We start from the raw sequence: 18,218 nt of genomic DNA, 5'->3' as shown, positions 1-18,218 counted from the left end.
CTCTGTCGCCAGGCTGGCGTGCAGTGGCATGATTTCTGCTCACTGCAACTTCCACTTCCTGGGTTCAAGCGATTCTCCTGCCTCAGCTTCCTGAGTGGCTGGGACTATAGTGATCTCCTCCTTACTATTCAGACCACAGTTTAAATGTCTTTTTTGAATAAGAGATGCTGGTGAGGCTGCAGAGAAAAGGGAATGCTTATACACTGCTGGTAGTAAAAACTAAGAAAAGATGCAGACTCCTACTCTAATGCCTCTCACTGTTTCATTCAAAAATAAAATTAAAAATACAGTTGCATATCACACAGACACAGCATTGATTATAGAAGAAACATCAATTTGCAAGAGAGGCCCTGAACAGAAGTCTCTGTGCCTCAGCTGTAAGACTCCTGTGGGGAGAGAAAGGAAAGCCCTTGATGTCTTTTAACACATTCTACGTTGACCGAAAATTCATCAGGTGATGAATAACGGGAAAAACAATCAATACATAGAAGCAGAGGCACTTATCTAGGCTAATTGGGAAGTGACAACAATTTAGCAGAATCTTCATCCCGACTTTAACATTTATTTAAAATAGAACTTTTTCAGCCCTAGAGAAATAATGTAGAATTGTAGAGTTCTCAGCTAATCCCACCCAAACCGAGTGAGGCATCTTCGATATATTCCAGGGAGAAGCTTCTACAGGTAGCTGTTTACTGTGCAATCATCAAAATTGCATTGTGCAAAGCTGTAGGACAGCATCCACAGAGGCTTTCCACAAGAAAAAGCACACCCCTCCCCACTCCTCTTCTGTCAGTCTCCCCTTCCCTGAATTCTCTCCCTCCAATTCTCTTATATGTTATTCAAGTAGTTTTAATATAGTCTGGCTGAACATAAAATTACTGATTCTTCATCTTGTTTCTGAAGACATTCAGCCTACATGTAGGCCAGTCAGCCTACATACCTTTTTTTTGTTTTTCATGCCCATAATAATTTCTCCTGTGTTTAAGCAGTTATCTATGTTACATCCTGTTACACATTTATCCATGCAATTGTTATATAGTATGTTTGTAAATATATCAAAACAATAACAATTGATGTTATTTATTTATTTATTTATTATTATTATTTTTTTGAGACGGGGTCTCGCTCTGTCGCCCAGGCTGGAGTGCAGTGGCGTGATCTCGGCTCACTGCAAGCTCTGCCTCCTGGGTTCACGCCATTCTCCTGCCTCAGCTTCACCGGTAGCTGGGACTACAGGCGCCCACCACCACGCCAGGCTAATTTTCTTGTATTTTTAGTAGAGACGAGGTTTCACCATGTTGGCCAGGATGGTCTCGATCTCCTGACCACTTGATCCACCCGCCTCAGCCTCCCAAAGTGCTGGGATTACAGGCGTGAGCCACCGTGTCCCGCCTGATGTTACTTTTAATCTTGATGCTGTTTGAGTGTGAAGGGAGAATCATTGCTTCTTTTTTAAGGTGATTGCGTTTTTACTAATTCATTGTTTTATATTTATTATTGAGTGTGGGATTGCTCAAATGAGTCTCTGTTTTTAGTTTACAGAAGGAGAGATATGACATGTTGTCATTCGGGAAAGGAACTTGACTAATTGTTCATGTGATGCAGAAGCATAATTTTTTTCTGCTAGTTTCCAGCTATTCAAAGCCTCAGGCTTTCTCTTTATTCTGGTAATTTCTTTGGGTTTCTAGAGAATAAGGCAGTATTATCTGGATTCTGGTGCTCAGGCAATGAGAATGGGGTCAAAAATAAGGTCACAGAGTCTAGATCTCCATATCAAATGTGCTAGATAAACGCTGACAGTCTTTCCCGGGCACTCTCCTGATCCTGTATCCACTAGTACCAAGATGTGTACATTTTGAAACTGATCCCTCCTGTCTCTTTTTTCTCTGTAGTGAATGATTTACAGAGTGGTTTCCTCTGTAGATCTGACTGCATTAGTTTTCTATTGCTACATAACAAATTGCCATATACTTAGCAGACTTATAAACATCCATGTGTCATCTCACTGTCCTGTAATTTAGAAGTCAGAGCAGGTTAGACTGGGTCTTCCGCTCAGGGTCTCACAATGTTGAAATTGATGTGTCAGCTAGATCATGTTGTTTCTGGAAAGTCTGGGGAAGGATCTGCTTCCAAATTCATCTAGGTGGTGGACAGTGTCGCTCTGTGATGTTTGGGACTGAAGCCTCTGCTTCACCATTGGCTATCAGTCCTGCTCATCCTCAGCTTCAAGAAATCACCCGTATTTCTTGAATCATGGTTTTTTCCTTTTTTTTTTTTTTTTTTTTTTTTTTGAGGCGGAGTCTCACTCTGTCGCCCAGGCTGGAGTGCAGTGGCGCGATCTCAGCTCACTGAAAGCTCCGCCTCCTTGGTTCACGCCATTCTCCTGCCTCAGCCTCCTGAGTAGCTGGGACTACAGGCTCCCGCCACACCACGCCCGGCTAATTTTTTTTTTTTTTTTTTTTTTTTTTTTTTTTTTAGCAGAGACAGGGTTTCACCATGTTAGCCAGGATGGTCTCGATCTCCTGACCTCATGATCCACCCGCCTCGGCCTCCCAAAGTGCTGGGATCACAGGCGTGAGCCACTGTGCCCAGCAGGTCTTTTCCATTTTTAAATTTAGAAATTGTGACTTGAATCTTTCTTGTACATCAAATCTCCCTGACACCCTCTTCTGCCACCAGCAGGGGAAGGTTCTCTGCTTTTAAGGACTCATGTTATTGCAATAAGTCTACCTGGGTAATTTTCTTATTTTGTGATCAACTACACCTTATAACATAAAATCATTATGAAAATAATATCTTATGATATTCACTGGTTCTGGGGCTCAGGGTAAAAACATCTATTTAATATGAATGGTCATTTTAGAAAATCATTGCAGATTAAACTACTACGCTTTCTTATTTCCAAAGATTCTTCCTTTTCCTGGCTCACCACCAGAAGTTACTCATGTTTTTTAGCATTAATACCAATATTTTTCTTGAAAACCCTATACATATGTATGTTTGTAAATATCTATATTATGATAATTTCTAAATATTTGAGATAGGAAGAAAAGTCTAAGTAATCATTCATTTATTCAAAATTTTTATTAATGCTGCATTACTGAAGAGTCCAGGGATATGTGGGTCAAGGAGACAGATGATGTGTTTGTTGATATGGCACTTGCCTTTCATGGTGATAGACAAATAGCAGAAGATTAATAAATGCATAAAAACAGTTGTTTTGTTAGCCTCTCTTTCACTCCATCAGTGAAGGAGGAATTCTGGTCAGAATGGCTATAGGAAGGCTGAACACTGCATAGATGAGATAGACGGCAGTTTACTCATCATAGATAGAATCCAGGGAAGGAGAGCACCACATTTCATGTGGGGGCACGCAGAGGTTAAATTCAGGAAGAGAGTGAAAAAGTATGGGCCATAGGAGGCTGGCTTTTTAGTATCACAAAGGTGGGTGCCCTCTAGTTTCCACAGGAAGATATGACTTGGCTGAATAATTCTGCAGGCTAGGAGGGAAGCAAAACCCACTATTCTGGGTTTACTAAGGTAAGTATCTAAGGAATATGCCTTATCTCCTTGAAAGAAATGTTATTTAGTGGCCAGGCGCAGTGGCTCACACGTGTAATCCCAGCACTTTGGGAGGTGGGCAGATCACCTGAGGTCAGGAGTTCGAGACCAGCCTGGCCAATATGGTGAAACCCCATCACTACTAAAAGTACAAAAATTAGCTGAGCATGGTGGCAGGTGCCTGTAATGCCCGCTACTTGGGAGGCTGAGGCAGGAGAATTGCTTGAACCTGGGAGGCGGAGGTTGCAGTGAGCTGAGATCATGTCATTGCACTCCAGCCTGGGCAACAGGACGAGACTCCGTCTCAACAACAACAACAACAAAAAATTTGGTGACAAGGCCTTATCCATGGAAGCAGAATGGGAGAAGGAACTTGAAATGAGGCCATTCAAAACCCTCCTGGTTTCACAGGATGTCAAAGCAGCACTTATTATTGAACCTTAATTTTATGCCTTATGCAAGAACAGTTTATGAAAAAAATATGAGTACCGTATTAAAATCATTAGATAGAATGTTATTAGGTTGGTGCCAAAGTAATTGCGGTTTTTGCTGTTACTTTTAATAATTGACTAGAGGACTGATAGGCTGGAAATAGAATGGTTAGGGAAAGCTTCATTGCAAAAATAGCATTTTATTTATTTATTTATTTTCAACTTTTAGTTTCTGGGGTACATGTACAGGTTGGTTCTATAGATAAATTATGTGTCACGAGGATTTGATGTGTATATTATTTCATTACCCAGATAATAAGCATAGTACACAAAAAGCAGTTTTTCAATCCTTACCCTCCTTCCAGTTTCCAGCCTGTTGCAGGCCCTGGTGTCCACTGTGCCCTTCTTTTTTGTCCATGTGTACTCATGTTTAGCTCTTACTTGTAACTGAGAACATGTGATGTGTGGTTTTCAGTTTTTGTGTTAGTTCACTTAGAATAATGGTTTCCAGCTCCATGCATGTTGATGCAAAGGACATGATCTCATTCTTTTTATGGTTGCATAGTATTTCACGGTATATATGTAGCACACTTTCTTTATCAGCTTACTGTTGATGGGCATTTAGGTTGATTCCATGTCTTTGCTATTGTGAATACTGCTGTAATGAATATATGAGTGCATATACCTTTACGGTAGAAAGATTTATATTCCTTTGGGTATATACCCAATATTGGGGTTGCTGGATCAAATGGTAGTTCTATTTTAAGTTTTTTGAGAAATCACCAAACTGCTTTCCACAGTGGCTGAGCTAATTTACATTCCTACCAGCAGTGTATAAGCATTCCCTCTTCTCTGCAGCCTCACCAGCATCTCTTATTCAAAAAAGACATTTAAACTGTGGTCTGAATAGTAAGGAGGAGATAGCTATGTGAAGTTTAGGAAAGGCACATTTTAAAGAGGAAGTAGACCTAATGTGGAAATCTCAAGGTCAAAATAAATTTTTCCTGATTAAGGAATAGAAGGAATTTCAGTGAGACTGTGATATCATGAATGAGTGAGGGAGTGATGGGAGATAAACTAGAGAGCTAAACTATGTTTAGGCGTATGCAGGATTTTTAAAACCAGGTCAAGTCTATTCGGTGCACAATCAGAAGTTATTTAAGGATTATAAATAGGGCAGTGACATTGTCTGGACAATGATTTAATTAGAAGTGATGAAAAGAATCAGCCAGTATGCAGTTTAAGAAGGAAAGGGGACTTATTATAGAGATCTGGACACTCTAATGTTAGCTGTCCAGCCAAGGAAAGTTTGGCCAAGAAAAATATGCTTGGTCTCCCACCAGAACACAAATCTTAAATCACTTCTTTAGGAATTCATAATTTGGCATCATTTATATCACATTTTTGGTAAATCAGGGAAAAAGAAAATTATATTGACTAATGAGAGAGCACCTATAACCTATAACTTTCAAATTTATAGGAATTTAATGTAAGATTGTCAATGTTAGAGACTTACGTATTTTTATCTTTTCTTGGAGACAGGGCCTCACTGTGTCACCCAGGCTATAGTGTAGTGGTGATCAGAGTTCATTGCAGACTTGAACTCCTGGGCACAAGTGATCTTCCCACCTCAGCCTCCCAAGTGGCTAAGATTACAGATACATGCCATCATGCCTGGCTTTAAGTATTTTTATATGCTGGAATACATGTTTAAAGGGGATGATCTTTTTGTATTTTTCTATTAATTACTGTCATGACATTTTGCTATAACTTTCTAAAACTTAAAAGATAAATTTAATTATGTACAAGTAATTAAAATGTACACACATACACACACTGAAAATTACAATTTGTGTTTCTCTATCATTCTACATCCCTGATCTTTCTAAGATGATTTTAAGCAATTATTTTTTAAATATTGCAGCTTTCCTACTATTATCAATAAGCTGATTTAAGAAGTGCATCTATAAGGTAGTATACCTTTTAAAATCCACTTCCATCTTCATTTTTTTAATGCAATGAATATAATCAAATGAAATTTGATGATAAATTTAAAAAGCAGACAATTAATATACTTTATTGGAAATTCACTCAAAACCACATAGGTGACAAATAATTGAAGCCACATTTGAAAACCTGTTTGAAATTCTTGCCACCTTACCAGGGTAATAAGAATTTTATGAAAATTGAGAAAAAGCAAGAAATAGCAATCTGATTGAAAATATTATCTCTTCAAAATAGTTGAGGAAATTGCATTTATAGTCCCAGTAATAGAAAATTATCTGAATACCTCAGTAAATGTGGCAGAATGGCAAGAAGAATAATCAAAAAACGTTTTCAAATATGACTTCAGAGAAATAAAAAGGATATTATAAAAATTTAAATTCAAGACTTAAGAAAATTTTCTCATACATTAGGGTACACAGAGATCTGCGGGGATACTGCTTTAAAATGTGTCAAAAGGATGGGAATTCTTCAAACATTCTGATTCATATGCTCTAGAATGAGACCCAAAAATCCCAATTGTAAACTTACATATCGCAAAAACTCTAGAATAGAATACCATGGACCACCTTTTCTAAACACTGACCTAAGATATTTGAAGAAAACATCTTTATATTTAACATGACTGAAATGCAAACAAAATTAATGCAACTTTTTCAAATCTTCAGCAGAAAAAATGAAAATCTTCTAAGTATTATATTATTGTCCATGAATAAATATATATTTAATGTTATTTATGGTAATTCAAATAATTATAGGAATTGATTTTTAAATTACATTTGTTTTGGACAGTAAGAGAAATAAAATAGTTAAAAGTTTAAACATCTTTAATATTGGAGTTGGGAAGAAAGGGTGACAAATTTTGTACATAGATTATAAATTGCTTAATAGAGAGATAAAAATGCAATTGATAGAGGACAGAGGATATAGAGGCTTTGAGGAAAAAGAGAGATAGAGAGAGAACAGCAAAGCACACAGAGAGAAAAACACTCAGGCACTCATTTCCAGGGAAGTTGCTCCCACTCAGTGGGAGTAATATCCTCAGTATCATATTCACCGCAGCTGAGTTCTGCAAGCTTCAGTTGGAAATTTCTGCTTAATAATGCATTTTAAAGCTTCCTGTAGTTTTATCTTGAAATCATTGAAAATGGAATTGTTTCTGTGATTGTGGGCGTGCTATTAGAATTATACTTTCGGAACAAGCTTCTATTTTTGCCACTGTCTTTACTATATGTTTAAACGCACTGGTACTGACCCCATGAATATTAAAATGATAATGAAGAATATTATGAATCACTCTATGCTCTATTGAAACAACTTTGATGAAATAGACCAGTATTTTTTAGGACACAAACTCCCAAGCTTAACACAAGCAGAAACAGATGAACTGATCTTTCAGGCCCGGTCATAGTCAATTACAAAGTTTTACTGGCAGGTTTCAAGGGGGAAGGTGGCTCTCCCCACTCAACACTCGGTGCACAGCCAATGCATTGCAACCTTTGGAGATAGTTATAGTCAAAGATTCACCCCCACCCCCACAATGGCAGGCCACACTTTTAGGCACATATGCCTTCCTAGCTTAGACATCCCCATTCAGAGGCCTCCTATGGCAGGCTGGGGAGGCTACACTGACAGAGTATTCAGAACGTCTACTGAGACCTCCTTATTGGTGGCCTTGAGATATTTCTTCAAGCTGGCTCAGTAATTTTCCATTATCAGTAATTTTAAACGTTCATCTGACTCTCTGGGTCCACAAAATGGCAGAAGGCTTTTGTTCATGGCTTCCTCAGCAGTTTTTTCTCATGATTATTCCCATTTATGCTGATCCATCTCACCCTCATCCTGTGCTGTTCCATGTGAAAAAAAAATGGAACATTGTGGAAGTTGGTAGAGTTCCAAATAATTTATGTAGATACTCTACCCTCAAGGAGTGGAGGGCATATTTCCTCATTCCTGAAAGAGTAAGGCAACCTTACAACGGAAAACCCTGACCAACACTACCTCAAACATGGGCTTATGGCCAACACTGACATGATCATAAACCATGTTGCTAGCATATACTCTTAATCATCAAAAAAAAATATATTGGGGAAATCCTACAGAATACCTGGTTAATATCCCTCAAAACGGTCAATGTCATCTAAAACAAGAGAAGTCTGAGAGACTGGCTGCTAACAGTGGCCTACAGAGACATGTCAAGTAAGTGGAATGTGGTATCCTGGATGGGATTTTAGAAAAGAAAGGGTATTAGAAAGAAAATCTGAACAAAGACTTAATAATTTATGACCATTTGTTCTTAATTTTAACAAATGTTCCACACTAATATAAAACATTAAAAACAGGGGGAACTGAGCGTGGAGTTTATGTCAATTGTCTGTACCACCTTTGTAATTTTTCTGTAAATATATAACTGTTCCAAGATTTAGATAGTTTATATTTTTTAAAGTTTTGTTTCATAACCACTGCATTATTGGCCATAAATATGAAAATCTTACTGTTTAATATGTATATGAAATACATTGCACTGTATTAGGCACAAGGTATATTCTATAAAGCATCTCCCAGAAACATAAACTACACCCAATATCAACCTAAAGTATTAAATTTGGAAGGACAGAATGGATAGCATGTTGGTTCTAGCGCCAATCACATACACATAGAAACCTTCTTTGTTAGCCATGAAGGCATGATTACAATAAAAACTATTGGGTAAATGCCAAACTCTACCATTACTAAAGGAGAAAAGGTGGGAGTTGTAGAACAAAGCCAAGTTGTAGGGGTGACAAATAGGAGGCAGCAGAGTAGACAGATACATTTCTTTTGTATTGCTCAACATATATAATGGATAATAGCAGATCTAATAACAGGAAGACTGGCCTTTTTATGCCATAATAGCATAATTGTAAAACCACAAAAATATTCTAAGGAGATAACTTTCATTCACTGTTTTGATAGAGATTGTTTGGAATTTTGTTTTGTTTTAAAAGCTTTAAAGATTCTGAAGCCCTATAGCTTCCAGTGCTAATTTTAAAAAACTTTTCATTATGATAAACATAATATTAACCACTTAAACTCTTTTTAAAAATATAATTCATTGGCCAGGCATGGTGGTTCATGCCTGTAATCCCAGCACTTTGGGAGGCTGAGGCCAGCGAACCACCTGAGGTCGGGAGTTCAAGATCAGCCTGACCAACATGGTGAAACCCCGTCTCTACTAAAAACACAAAATTAGCTGGGTGTGGTGGTGCATGCCTATAATCCCAGCTATTCGGGAGGCTGAGGCAGGAGAATTGCTTGAACCAGGGAGGCGGAGGTTGCGGTGAGCTGAGATTGTGCCATTGCACTCTAGCCTGGGCAACAAGAGCAAAACTCCATCTCAAAAAAAAAAAAAAAATCATTGGCATTAAATACATTCACAATGTAGTGTAAACATCACCACTAGCTACTTCCAGAATGTATTCATCACCCCAAAAGGAAAGTTCATATCCAGTAATCAGTCACTTCTGAATAACTCCTCTTCCATTCCCTAATAGTTACTTATCTGCTTTCTTTCTCTGTCTCTGGATTTGCCTATTCTGGATATTTTATATAAGTTGAATCATACGATATGTGTTTTTTGTGTCTGGCTTCTTTCACATAGCATAATTTTTTCAAGGTGAATCCATGCTGTAGCATGTATCAGTACTTCATTCCTTTTCATGGCTGAATAATATTTCATTTTATAAATACATCACATTTTGTTTACCCATCCATTTGTTGATGGGTGTTTAAGATGTTTCTATGTCTTAGCTATTGCATATAGTGCCACTTGGAACATGACTATACACATTTTTGTTTGAAAATCTGTTTTCAGTTCTTTTGGTTACACACCTGGAAGCAGCTTCACTAGGTTATAGGGTAATTCTATGTTTAACTCGTTGAGAAACTCCTAAACTTTTTCCCACAGTGGGAGTACCATTTTACATTCCCACCAGCATACTTCCAGTGCTATTGTTCATGCTTTTTATTCTTCTCATTTTTGAATGGGAGATTGCCCCTGCTACCAATCCATGTATAGTTTGTAATACAGAGTTTGATTTATACTCAAATCTGAAATCTTTTTGTTATGTGAGATATGAATTAAGGAACATTTTTTTCTTTCTGAAACTCAGGTTACTCATCTTAAAGTGGGGTAATTCTTACCTTATAAATTTCTCAGTATTGCAACAAACAAGAGAGAAACTTTTAAATTTGCATGCCTTGCCATCTTATCAGAATTGTCACTTATGCTGTTCATCTTTATATATTTGTTTCTCTTGCTTTTGTTTAAATAGAATGTTGTGGTTTCCTCCTAACAACTGAGTCAATTTGCATTTGCTTCTATGAGCTGCCCTTTCAAATACTGCCCTTCTGAGATTCACATTAGCCCTTCTTTACTCCTAAGTCTTTTGACTCAAGTGACCACTCACAGAGAGAAATTTACTCTATGTTGATGATTCTCATGCCTATATCCCAGCTCAAACTATCCTCACAATTGCAGATCAGAACATGTGTCTCCTAGATATATCTATGGATATGGTATACAGACACATCAAACTTCACAAACTCCAAACTGAAATTTGATTCTCCTTAAACTCAGTGCCTTTTCCTTGTTTCTATGAACGTGAATGACACTGACAACCACACTATTTTTGAAGCTAAAGCCTGGCTATGTACCTCTCCCTCATTTCCTGTTTCCCACAAGTCCCCCAAGAGCCTTGATTCTACAGACTAAAGAGATCTCTAATTAGCCTGCTTTTTCCATTTCCTCCTCCTAGCCTGTACTAGTAGGAGTTGTTGACATAGAGTAGCAGCCACATTCAATTGGGATTTTAAAGAGAATTAAAGAAAGGGACCAGAGACAGATTTAATATGAAGCTAATGAGGTTTAAGCTGCAGGGCCCTCATTTGCATGAGCTTCTGTGAAGTCTGGGATTTGCTGTGCAATTCAGTACTCTGGATGGGGAGGGACAACAAGTTTTCAATTAGGAATCATTACAGTAAGCATTTCAGATAAATTCCCTAAAGGGATTTCAGGAGAAAGGGATCCACCCTTTTAAGTCTGTAGTAAAATAGTTTTGCTCTCAGATTTGGTGTCTATAATTGTGTACTCCCTTTCTTAAAAAAGGAATTCCAAATTGCACAAATTTCAGGCTCCATAAAACCTATATCTACCACTGGAAGTGACAATTTCAACATGTATGGACAAAGTTAAGGAATATAACAAGTAATATTGAGGCACTTAGTCAAGCAACAATAGGAATTAGTTACAACCCATAGGTCTGTAAAGTCAAGGGGAAAAAATGGTTTTGTTACCAGAAAGGGGTTGTGATCCAGACCCCAAGAGAGAGTTCTTGGATATTGTGCAAGAAAGAATTTAGCATGAGTCCACAGAGTAAAGTGAAAGCAAGTTTGTTAAGAAAGTAAAGGAATCAAAGAAGGGCTACTCCATAGACAGAGCAGGGTGTCCTCGAAAGCAAGGGGAGAAATACACCACCTTAGGAACGATGCCTGTTTATATATAAGATACATAGCAAGAAAGCATGGGAGAGATGTGCTCTACAATTATACAGGGCTCCTCACAAAGGATTGTTGGTCTTTGTGTACCTACTGTCTTCAGCAAGAATCTATATTATTACCTTTAAAGAAGAACTTAAACTAAGAATTGTTTTCTTCATAAGATATTGGTCTGTCCGGGCATGGTGGCTGATGCCTGTAACCCTAGAACTTTGGGAGGCCTAGGTGGGTGGATCATCTGAGGTCAGGAGTTCAAGACCAGCCTGGCCAACATGGTGAAACCCTATCTCTACTAAAAATACAAAAATTAGCCAGGTGTGGTGGCGTATGCCTGTAATTCCAATTACTCAGGAGGCTAAGGCAGGAGAATCACTTGAACCCAGGAGGCAGAGATTGTGGTGAGCCGAGATCGTGCCATTGTACTCCAGCCTGGGTGACAGAGTAAAACTCTGTCTCAAAAAAAAAAAAAAAAAAAGGTATTGGGGCATTAGGACATTTCCTGGATCTGTTAAGTCCTGGATCTGTTTAGTCAACATTACTAACCTGTTCCCTTAGCCATAAACATCCTGTGACTAAGAATGCCTAACCTTCTGGGAATGTAGCCCAGTAGATCTCAGCTTCATTTTTACCCAGCCCCTATTCAAGATGGGGTCGCTCTGGTTTGAACTCCTCTGACAGTTTTATCAGGACTGTGTGAGAGGACAAACTTTAGATGGTGCATTTGGAATATGATCTAAAACAATTCATATGAATTGAAGCCTCTGGAGGTTACCAAATATTTCTTATTTTCTATAGTGTTTTTAAAGTATACTTTTTTATTTTTGATCACTTTTTGACTTATACATTTACAGTGAAGATAGTACAGAGAGTTTTCCACATAACTTAGTTTCCCAGTTTTTAACACTTTATATCAGTATGGCATATTTGTTGTAATTAATGAACCAATATTGATACATTATAATTAAGTAAAGTTCAGATTTCATCATATTTTCTTTTTCTGCTGTTGCAAGATCTCATCTAGGATTCTCCATTACATTTAGTAGTCCTGTCTCCTTACAGTTGTTGTTGGCTGACAGTTTCTCTAATTTGCTCTGTTATTCATGATGTTTTCAGTTTTGAAAAGTCTTGGTAGGATATTCTTCTATTGGGATTTTCCTGATGTTTTTCTTATTATTTGAGTGGATATTATTTTCTTAAGATGAAGACCACAAAGGTAAAGTGCCATTATGATAATAAAATATCAGCAGAAGTACTACTCAACAGCGCTACTATGGTTTGAATGTCCCCTCCAGAATTCAAGTTGAATTTAATTGCCATCGTGAAGGTATTAAGAGTGGGACCATTAATAAATAATTAGGCCACTATGTCTGTACCCTCATGAATGGATTTATATTGTTCTTGTGGGACTGGGTTGTTATGAAAGTGGGTTCAGCCCTCTCTTGCTCTCACTCTTTCCATAATCTGCTTTTGCTTTTCTCCTTTCTGCCATGGAATGACACAGCACAAAGGCCCTCACCAGATGCTGGTACCATGCTCTTTGACTTCCCAGCCTTCAGAACTATGCGCCAAATAAACTACTTTTTTAAAAAAATAAATTACCCAGCCTGTGGTATTCTGTTATAGCAACACAAAACACACTTAGACAAGTACATACTGACAGCATGATTTATCTGTTGATGGTGACTTTTATCACTCAGCTGAGGTAGTGTCACTCAGGAACCTCTATTGTAAAATTATTATTCTTCCCTCCTTTTAATAATGTGTTATTTGGAATGAAGTCATTATGCACAGCCTGCACTTAAGGAATGGGGAGATATGCATCCTCTAATTGAGGTTGAACTATCTCTATAAATTACTTGGAAAATTTCTATTCAGGGCATTATTTGTCTATTTTTTCCCATTTGTTTATATAGCTAATAATGTGTTTATATCAGTATGCACCGAAGGATATTTATTTGATAATTTAAGTTATTATCTCGTACAACATTTTTTGTTGCTTAAATTTGACTCTGATATTCTTTCGGTATACCGCCATCATTGCTGTTTTTTGTTGTTGTTTGTCTATTTGTTGCTGTTGTTGTTTTCAAAACTTTCTGGTACTACATGAAATCCATGCTAATTTTATGCATTTCTTGCTCGAGTCCTAGAATCACCTTTTTTTTCTCCAAGACGGTTTGGTTACATTTTTGAGAATGACATTAAATTAGAAGCCAAGCTATGAAAGTTAAGTATGCTTATTAGTTCTGGTAAAGCAAATAAGCATATGTGGATAGATCAACCCATGTACACACACACACACACATACACACATGTATTTAACTGCATTTTTCTATATTAAACTAAACATGTTGTATTGATGTCTCCAACTCTAATCCATGACCACCTGGATTATTCTGTCCTCTTTTCCTTACTTGCCTATAATCTCTCACTCCAATATTTAGAAATCTTGCCCCATCATTCACCATTTATTTACCTAATTATTCAATTTCAGTGTTCAGTGGTTTCAAAAGTATTAATTTGTATCTCCATGGAAAATCGTTTTATCAAGTAGAGTACGGTGCTTACATACACTTCCTTTTGCCCTTATTTTTAAAAACTCCACTAACTCCAAAGTTACTTGTATTGGTGCCTCATTCCATAACGTCAGTCGGTGAGGTTGTTTTATAAATTTGTAATAGATTTGGATTACTTTCTCACATTCTACATTCCATTCTATTGGCATCACATATATCACACAGAACTTTATGGCACAAGGTGTGAACTTAAATGCACAGCATGTCAAATGTTAAATTTCTTCTATTCACCATTACAGAATAGTTTTGTCACAATAAAATATTCCCTCTGATTCACCTACTAAAGTTCCCCCCATCTGAACCTCTGGCAACCAGTGATCTGTTTACTTTCTCAATAGTTAAGCACTTTCTAAAACTTTACATAATTGGAATTATACAATATATGATTTTTTTCTGAATGACTTTTTAAATATAACAATGGGCAGATTTAAGGTTCAGCCATAATTTTTTGATAGCTTGATAGTTCATATACTTTTTTAATCACTGACTCATATTCTACTCTCTGAATGTATCACAGTTTGTTGTTCCATCTACCTGTTAATAGCCATCTTCTAGTTTTTGATGATTATAAGTAATACTGCTATAAACATTAATGTGCTGGGTTTTCTGTGGATATAAATTTTTAACTGAGTTTTTTAAATACCTGGGAGCACAATTCATGGATTATATGTTAAACATATGTTTCATTTTTTGAAAAAAAATGCCAAACTGTCTTCCAAAATTATTAATTTGTCATCCTACCAGCAATCCTATGACCAACTTATTTTCCTGTTGCTCCACATCCTCCACAGCAGGGAGCATTGTCACTTTTTTGGTTCACATTGAATTCATTCTATTAGATGTTGTTTTAGTATGCAATTCACTAATTAAAAATGATGCTTAGCAGCTTTTCATTTGCTGTGTGCCCATCTGTATATCTTCTTTGGTGAGATGTCTGTTCATGTGTTTTGCCCTTTGTTTTAACTGTTTGTTGTTACATTTTTGAGCTTACAAGTTATTTGTGTATTTTGAGTGCAAGTCCTTCATCATTTGTGCTTATCAAATATTCATTCACAGTATGTGGCTTAAATTTTCATTTTCTTAATAGTGACTTTTGCAGGGCAGACAATTTTTGGTTTTAATAAAATGCAACTTATGACTTTTTTAATTGCTGAATTATGCCACTGTTACTGAATTTAACGCATCACAATATCCAACTCCACATTTTTTTAAATTTTTTTCAAGAGGTTTCATAGTTTCACATTTTACATTTAGGATGAAAATGTATATTTACATATTTACCTCAGACTTTACATTTTGCCTTTTATACAATGATCCATTTCAAGTTAATTTTGGGGTACAATATAATGTCTCTGTCTACACTTTTTTTTTGCATATGGAAGTCCAATTGTATTCCATCATAAATTGCTGAAAATACTATCTTTTTCTCACTAAATTGCCTTTGTTCCTTTGTCAAATATTAGTAGATGATATGGTTTGGCTGTGTCTCCACCCAAATTTCATCTTGAATTGCAGTTCCCATAATTCCCATGTGTTGTTGGGGGCTCCGGTGGAGATAATTGCATTATGCAGCAGTTTCCCCCATACTGTTCTCATGGTAGTGAATAAGTCTCATGAGATCGGATGGTTTTATATGGGGTTTCCCCTTTCACTTGGCTCTTATTCTCTCTTGTCTGCTACCATGCAAGAGGTGCTTTTTGCCTTCTGCCATGATTGTGAGGCCTCCCCAGTCATGTGGAACTGTGAGTCCATTAAACCTGTTTTTCTTTATAAGTTATCCAGTCTCAAGTATATCTTCATCAACAGCATGAAACAGACTAATGTAGTGGTCTAGATGTGTGTGGGTCGATTTCTATGCTTTCTAGTCTGTTTCATGGATTGACGTGTCTATTCTTTCATCAGTTCCACATGCTCCTGATTATTGCAGTCTTATAAAATTGGATAAGGTTTGTCATCCAACATTTTTTCTTCTTCTTCAGTATTACGTTGGTTTTTGTAGGCTGTTTGCCTTTCCACTAAAATGTTACAATCAATTCACCCATATGTATATCCTAGGTTGCTCAGACTTTGATTGAGATTGTGTTGAATCTATAGATTAAGTTGAGGAGAATTGACATTGTAACAATATTGAGACTTCTAATCAATAAACAGAGAAAAAAGTATCAATTTAATTAGAGCTTGTATTTTTTCATAATGTTTTGCAGTTTTCCTTAAATAGGTCATGCATACATTTTCTTAGATTTAAAAGGAAGTATTTTACTGTCAATGTATAGTTCTACTGTAATATTTTTTGAATACTCGATTGCCTTTGTATATTAATGTTAGATTTCACAATCTTCTTGGACTCATTAATTTTAGATGTTTCTGTTTATTCCTTTGAATTTTCTACATGAACTATTATTCCATTACAAATGAGGAAGTTTCTATTTCTTCTTTTTCAATCTTTATACCTTACCACCCTTGCCCTGCTTTTTTTCTTATTGCCCTGGCCAGGAATTCCAATATGATGTTGAATAGAAGCTATGAGATAGGATATTATTGACTTGTTCCCAGTTGTGATGTTTAATTTTGTGTCAAATTGACTGGGCCATGAGATTCCCAGATTGTGTTTAGAGTGGTAGACTGAAGAAAGAATATTTCCTGGCCTAATGTAGGTGAATATCAGCCAACCTGTTTAAGTCCCAGATAGAGCTAAAATATGGAGGAAGATTGAAGTCTTGCTCTCTGTCTGGCTGCTTGAACATTGAAACAACAGTCTTCTCTTACTCTTGGACTGAGACTTACACCATCAGTCCTCCTGGTTGTTAGGCCTTCAGACTTGGACTGAAATATATGGCTGTCTTGGGTCTTTATCTTTCAAAGGGCAGATCCTGGGCCTTCTTAGCTTCCATAATCACACAAGACAAGTTCTTATTATAAATAATATTATTAAAAATAATAATAATATTATGTATTTTTTCTATTGATTCTGTTTTCTAGAGAACTCTAAGACACCAACCTTATAGAAAAACATATCATTTCTCACCAGCTGTAGATTTATTGTAGGTGTATATTATACTATAAATTTCCCTCTAAATACTTCTTTTCCTTCATTGCACAAAGGTAAATATTTTATTTTTATTTACTTCACATTCTTTACAATATTTGTTTGAAACTACTGTTTGATACATTTATCATTTAAAAGTGTGCTGTTAAATCTTCAAATGTTCTGGGATTTCCCAACTATATTTTATGCATTTCTAGTTTAATTGTATTGTTTTCTGAACACATGGTTTTCATGATTTCTGTGCCTTTAAGTTATTAATATGTGTTTTAAGTTATTAATATGTTTTAAGCTATTAATATGTTTCTAACACATTGATAGGCATTTTATGTCCCAGAAAAGAATGTGGTTTCCATTGTTGAATGTTCCATGCAAACTTGAGAAGAATATACATGCTGCTGTTATTGAATGAAGTGGTATTTAAGTATCAATTATACCAAGTTGATTTTTAGTATTGTTCAGGTCAACAATGTCCTTACTGATTTTCTGCTTACTGATATATCACTTGTGAAAAGAAATGTTGAAATTTTATAGCACACTAAGTATAATAGTGTATTTCTCTATTTCTTCTTCAGGTCTAATAGAGCACTTCGATTCTTTATTATTAGGTTTAGGGTTGTTATATATTATACATATTTGGATAATTGTTTCCTTTCTCGTTATGTTGTGTTGCTCTCTATCTGTAATAAATTTTCTTCTTCTGATGTCTGCTTTATCCAAAATTAATACAGTTACTTCTGCTTTCTTTGTATTAGTGTTAGCATGATATCTTTTTCATCCTTTTTAAAATTTTAACCTTAGTTTATATGCTTCAGATGAGATTCTTTTTGACAACAAAGAGTTGCATCTCTGTCTTTTAATGGTTCATCTAAACTAGTCATTTTAAAGCCATTATTGATATAGGTGATTTACTGTCTACCATGTGTGTAACTGTTTTCTATTCATTTTGTTTGTTCTTAGTATATCATTCATAGTAATTTTTAAAAATTTTAAGTGGCTACCCTTAAGGTTCTAATACATTCACTTAACTAATCAAAGTTTATCTTCAAATTATAGTGTATCTATTCATGT

The sequence above is a fragment of the Homo sapiens genome, chromosome 5 (assembly GCF_000001405.40).
Source record: "Homo sapiens chromosome 5, GRCh38.p14 Primary Assembly".
In the NCBI taxonomy this organism is placed as follows: domain Eukaryota; kingdom Metazoa; phylum Chordata; class Mammalia; order Primates; family Hominidae; genus Homo; species Homo sapiens.
Note: the sequence above shows the minus strand (reverse complement) of the source record.